This window comes from Homo sapiens, chromosome 19, assembly GCF_000001405.40.
Source record: "Homo sapiens chromosome 19, GRCh38.p14 Primary Assembly".
In the NCBI taxonomy this organism is placed as follows: Eukaryota; Metazoa; Chordata; class Mammalia; order Primates; family Hominidae; genus Homo; species Homo sapiens.
Genome location: NC_000019.10, coordinates 6,562,063 through 6,568,874, shown reverse-complemented (window position 1 = coordinate 6,568,874; position 6,812 = coordinate 6,562,063). Strand labels below are relative to the sequence as shown.

At 43.2% G+C, this 6,812-nt stretch overlaps 1 pseudogene; it reads left to right on the top strand.

The window, feature by feature from the left end:
- Positions 4,892-6,312, top strand: CLIC4P2 (chloride intracellular channel 4 pseudogene 2; annotated as a pseudogene).

Sequence of the window (6,812 nt, the reverse complement as noted above, 5' to 3'; positions counted from 1 at the left end):
TTAGATGGAGTCTCACTCTGTCATCCAGGCTGGAGTGCAGTGGTGTGATCTCGGCTCACTGCAACCACCGTCTCCCAGGTTCAAGCGATTCTCCTGCCTCAGCCTCCCGAGTAGGTGAGACTATAGGCGCATGCCACCAACCTGGTTAATTTTTTGTATTTTCAGTAGAGATGGGGTTTCCCCATGTTAGCCAGGATGGTTTTGATCTCCTGACCTCATGATCTGCCCACCCCAGCCTCCCAAAGTGCTGGGATGAACATAGTTTACTTTTTAAGTGAAGGAGTGTGTGATTTAACCTTTGCTGGCATGGTCTTAGGTTCTGTTTATAATTTGGTATCTTTTTTTTTTTTTTGAAACACGATCTTGCTCTGTCACGCAGGATGGACTGGAGTGGCACAGTCATAGCTCACTGTAGCCTCGAACTCCCAGGCTCAAGCTATCTTCCCACCTCAGTCTCCCAAATACCTGGTGTAGGAGATTGGTCAGGGTGGTGGGAGAAATTATAGAGTTATAGGAAATAGACACAAACTTTCTTGGAAGGCCGGGTAGTTTGCATCACTTCAGTAAAAGATTTGGCTGGAGGCAGCTGAATTCTCTTAAAAGCTTAGGGCGTAGATACATAGGAATGTAGAGGAATTTATCTAAATAGCTTGTTTACTCATGTGGTCCTAAGACTGACCTTTGGTCATCTGCGGGTGCATGACTGCTCTCTACTCAGGAGGTCAGCAATGTTAATTACCCTCCAGTGGTGTTTACTTGAGACATTTGTCATTTAATCTGTACTAAATAAATGCAAACTTCGCCAGTTTATCGAGGCCAATGCTGTGGACTCAGGCAGCAGAGCCCCTTAGCCACACTGACAGGCAAAATGTCTGTGTCAGTGTACGTCTTTCATCCATCACTGGGTCAGGGTCCACAGATCGGACCTGGCAACCTGATACTACAGGTGCACGCCACCATACCTGGCTTAATTCGCTATCTTATTGTTACAGAAAGCCTGTTCTGTCTTGTGATTTTTATTTGACCATTAATGGTGGTCAGTTTTTGTGTCTAAACCACAAAAAGAAGGTATGCCTGGCCTCCCATCCCATTATGTCTGGGAACTAAGTTTTTAAGGTTTTTTACAGGGGCTTCCCTTGGCCAAGGAGGGATCCATTCTGTCAGTAGCAGTGGGAAGAGGGAGCTTGGGATTTAATTATCAGTTTACATTCCCCCTTTTTTTGGTCATTATATGCCAGATGCAACATCGATGGCCAAACTTCTATTTTGTCCCATATTATTGCTGGGGTGGTGTGTCTGCCTACCCAGGCCCAACATGTCCCTCGGTGGGACCCCATGCCCAAGGGATTTGGAGTCAAAATGTTTATAGCCAACTAAATATTCCAGGCCAGATGGGAATGGCGGTGGGCAGGTTCTCATTAACCCTGGGAACCCTTTAGGTAACATGAGAGCCAAAAATCAAATGCCAAAAGGCGAGGTTATAAAATTGGCATCTATTTAAGTTCTATGCATTGAGCTACTGTAATCTTGGTTGTAGTTACACGCTTGTAGTAATTAGCTATACAAAACATAAGCATTTTCCTAAAACCATTTAAGCTAAGGAATTTAGAGACTTTCAATGTGCTGCAAGGCTTTTTGTAGTCTTTTTAGTAATTCCTCCTAAGGTGGCTGATAAAATTGTTTATATAATTGGCATCATTTTATTACTGGGAGCACTATATCCAGAAGGCTTTGTCACCAGGTGATATTGTTTGGCTGTGTCACCACCCAAATCTCATCTTGAATTCCCACACATTGTGAGAGGTACCTGGTGGGAGGCAATTGAATCATGGGGGCAGGTCTTTCCCATGCTGTTCTCATGATAGTGAATAAGTCTCATGAGATCTGATGGTTTTAAAAACAGGGTTTCCCTGTACAAGCTCTCTTTTTGCCTGCTGCCATCCATGTAAGACGTGACTTGCTCCTTCTTGCCTTCCTTCATGATTGTGAGGCTGCCCCAGACACGTGGAACTGTAAATCCTTTTTCCTGTATAAATTACCCAGAATTGGGTCTGTCTTTACCAGCAGCATGAAAACAGACTAATACACCAGGTATCTGGATATCTTTCCGTAATTTTTGTTTAATTCTATGGAGAGCAAAACTTTTTATGGTTGGGATGGATGGAGAGAGGCAACATAGTAGGCCAAGACACAGTCTTATTTTGGCAGATGTTTGGGCATCTGTGTGCCCATGCTTGAGTAGGAGGGTCTGAAATAATTCTATCCCTCAAATTTGGCCCTTACAATCTCACATGCCCACCTCTTATGTGACAGTCCCTGAGCCTAGAGGGAAGGGGCTTATACAGGTTTAGCAGCAGATCATTAGCAATGAAAGCACATAAGTCCCAGTGAGATTCTAAATAGTTTTTAAATTTCAGAGATATCAGGCCAGGCATGGTGGCTCATGCCTGTAATCCCAGCACATTAGGAGTCCAAGGTGGGAGGATCACTTGAGGTCAGGAGTTCAAGACCTTCCTGGCCAACATGGTGAAACCCCATCTTTACTAAAAACACAAAAAATTAGCTGAGTGTAGTGTCAGGCACCTGTAATCCCAGTTACTTGGGAGGCTAAGGCAGGAGAATCACTGAACCTAGGAGGCAGAAGTTGCAGTGAGCCAAGATTGCACTACTGCACTCCAGCCCAGGTGACAGAGTGAGACTCCATCTCAACAAAAAAAAATTACCGCACAGCAAAAGAAACTACCATCAGAGTGAACAGGCAACCTACAGAATGGGAGAAAATTTTTGCAATCCACCCATCTGACAAAGGGCTAATATCCAGAATCTACAAAGAACTTAAACAAATTTACAAGAAAAAATCAAACAACCTCATCAAAAAGTGGGTGAAGGATATGAACAGACACTTCTCAAAAGAAGACATTTATGCAGCCAACAGACACAAGAAAAAATGCTCATCGTCGCTGGCCATCAGAGAAATGCAAATCAAAACCACAATGGGATACCATCTCACACCAGTTAGGATGGCGATCATTAAAAAGTCAGGAAACAACAGGTGCTGGAGAGGATGTGGAGAAATAGGAACACTTTTACACTGTTGGTGGGACTGTAAACTAGTTCAACCATTGTGGAAGACAGTGTGGCGATTCCTCAAGGATCTAGAACTAGAAATACCATTTGACTCAGCCATCCCATTACTGGGTATATACCCAAAGGATTATAAATCATGCTGCTACAAAGACACATGCACATGTATGTTTATTGCGGCACTATTCACAATAGCAAAGACTTGGAACCAACCCAAATGCCCATCAATGATAGACTGGATAAGAAAACGTGGCACATATACACCATGGAATACTATGCAGCCATAAAAAAGAATGAGTTCATGTCCTTTGTAGGGACATGGATGAAGCTGGAAACCATCATTCTGAGCAAACTATCACAAGGACAGAAAACCAAACACCACATGTTCTCACTCATAGGTGGGAACTGAATAATGAAAACACTCAGACACAGGAAGGGGATCATCACACACCAGGGTCTGTCGTGGGATAGGGGGAGGGGGTAGGGATAGCATTAGGAGATATACCTAATGTAAATGACGAGTTAATGGGTGCAGCACACCAACATGGCACATGTATACATATGTAACAAAACTGCACATTGTGCACATGTACCCTAGAACTTAAAGTATAATAATAAAAGAAAAAGAAAAAAAAAGTTAGCCTGGTATGGTGGTGTGCGCCTGTAATCCCAGTTTCTGGGGAGGCTGAGGCATAAGAATTGCTTGAACCTGGGAGGCAGGGGTTGCAGTGAGCCAAGAGCATGCCAATGCACTCCAGCCTGGGTGACAGAGAGACTCTGTCTCAAAAAAAAAAAAAAAAAAAAAATGAGAGTTGGCTAGGTAAAGGATAGAAAGTATCAAAGAGAGAAAGGAAGGGAGTTCCTGACTGCAGGAACATCACTGGGCAATAGCTGGGAAGTGGGAAGGAGAAGCCAAAGGAGGCTAATGTAGATGAGGAAGAGGGTGGTGCAATATCCTTCTGAAGAACTAGGCAGAGACTTGTTCACTCAAGACCTTACAGGACTCCTGAGGCACCATCTTCATGGTTGGCAGAGAAGTTGAGTCTGTAGACCCTAACAAAATCTGACTGGACCAGGGATCAGTGGCTAGGTCAAAGATTGTCCAATAGGATCACTCCAGTTTGGATGGTAACTAATCCAGCCAATCAGCTCTCCCCTGGCATGCGTTCCACTGTCCATGGTTCTGAAGTATCTTTGCAAAATAAGACTGTTGATCCCAATCAACAGGTTGGCCACATAACTCTGTATTAGTTAGCTACTGCCGTGTAACAAATCATCACAAACTTAGTGGCTTGAAACAACACTCATTCATTATTTTCATGGTGTCTTCATCAGGAATCTGGGCAAGATTTATATGGGTTCTATTCTCAGGGTTATACAATCAAGGAGTTGACCAAGCTGTGTTTTCATCTGGAGTCTGGGGAAGAATTGTGTTCAAACTCATTAGTGTTGTTGGCAGAATTCAGTTCCTTGCAGTGTAGAACTGAGGCCCCTGTTTTTTTAGCTCATTGTTAGCCAGGGATCACTCTGCTCCTAGAAGATGTTCTTGGGTTTTTTTCATGTGGTCCTTACCACCTTTAAAGCCAGCAACGACAGGTCAAATCCTTCTCAAGGTCTGAATCTCTCTGGCTTCTGACTTTCTTGATATTTGACTTCTACATTCAGATTTATAGAGTTTGTGTGATTAACTCAGGCTCACCTAGACAATTTCCCTTTGATAAATTTAAGGCCAATTGAAGAAGTGGCTCAATCTGCAGTGTGGTGCAGTGCTGAGGAGCTGAGGCCATGGCCACCTCAATGCCAGACTGTCCAGTGAGCAGCATGGCCAAAGCCATCAGCCAGAGCAGCCTTGGAGCAGAAGCAGCAGCTGCCAACGTTTGCAAAGCCCAGCTGACCTGGCCTTGGCATTGTCGATGCCACTGAACAAGTTGAAGGAGGAAGACAAAGAGCCCCTCCTTGAGCTCTGGGTCAAGGCTGTCAGTGATGGTGAAAGCACAGGAATCTGCCTTTTTTCCCAGAGATTCCTCATGATTCTTTAGCTCAAAGGAGTTGTCTTCAGTGTCACAACTGTTGATCTGAAAAAGGAAACCTGCAGATCTGCAAAACAAGGCTCCTGGGAACCACCCACCACTTATAACTTTCAACAGTGAAGTCAAATAAGATTGAGGAAGCTCCTGAAGAAGTCTTATGTCCTCCCAAGTACTTAAAGCTTTCACCAAAACACCCAGAATCAAATACTGCTGGAATGGACATCTTTGCCAAATTCTCTGCATAGATCAAGAATTCAAGGCCAGAGGTTAATGAAGCATGAGTGAAGCATCTCTTAAAAACCCTGCAGAAAATGGTGATTATTAAAAAGTCAAGAAACAACAGATGCTGGTGAGGTTGCAGAGAAAAAGAAACGCTTTTACACTGTTGGTGGTAGTGTAAATTAGTTCAACCATTGTGGAAGACAGTGTGGTGATTCCTCAAAGATCTAGAAGCAGGAAAAACATTTGACCTAGCAATCCCATTAGTGGGCATATACCCAAAGGAATATTCATCATTCTGTTATAAAGATACATGCACGCATATGATCACTACAGCACTACTCACAATAGCAAAGACATGGAATCAACCCAAATGTCCACCAATGATAGACTGGATGAAGAAAATGTGGTACATATACACCATGGAATACTATGCAACCATAAAAAGGAACAAGATCATGTCTTTTGCAGGGACATGGATGGAGCTGGAGCAGTTATTCTCAGCAAACTAACACAGGAACAGAAAATCAAATGTCGCATGTTCTCATTTATAACTATGAGCTGAACAATGGACACAGGGAGGAGAACAACACACAGTGGGGCCTGTCAGTGGGGCAAGGAGAGGAAGAGCATCAGGAAGAATAGCTAATGAATGCTGGGCTTAATACCTAGGTGATGGGTTGATCTCCGCAGCAAATCACCATGGCACACATTTACCTATGTAGCAAACCTGCACATCCTGCACATGTACCCTGGTAGCTAAAATAAAAGTTAAAAAAAAAACTGCAAAAACTTATGAATATCTGAATTCTCCTCTCCCTGATGAAATTGATGAAAATAGCATGCAGGACACTAAGTTTTCTACACATAAATTTCTGAATGGCAATAAAATGGCATTAGCTGATTGCCATCTGCTGCCCAAACTGCATATTGTCAAAAAAAAAGTCACAACTTTGATATTCCAAAAGGAATGACTGGCCAGGCACGGTGTTCATGCTTGTAATCCCAGTACTTTGGGAGGCCAAGGTGGGTGGATCACTTGATGTCAGGAGTTCTAGACCAGCCTGGCCAACATGGTGAAACCCATTTCTACTAAAAATACAAAAATTAGCCAGGCTTGGTGATGGGTGCCTGTAATCCCAGCTACTTGGGAGGGTGAGGCAGGAGAATACCTTGAACCCGGGAGGCGGAGGTTGCAGTGAGCCGAGATCATACCACTGCACTCCAGCCTGGGTAATAAAGCGAGACTCCATCTCAAAAATAAATAAATAAATATAGAAAATAAAAAAATATAGAAAAAAAAGGAATGACTGGCATCTGGAGATACCTAACGAATACAAGTAGTAGGGATATGTTCAACAATACCTGTCCCAATGATAAAGAGATTGAAATAGCAGCAGAAACAGTTAATGTAGTAATGTAACCAAAAGACTCACCAAGTAAACTTGCATTTATGACAGAGATGTCTTCGTGTCTTCT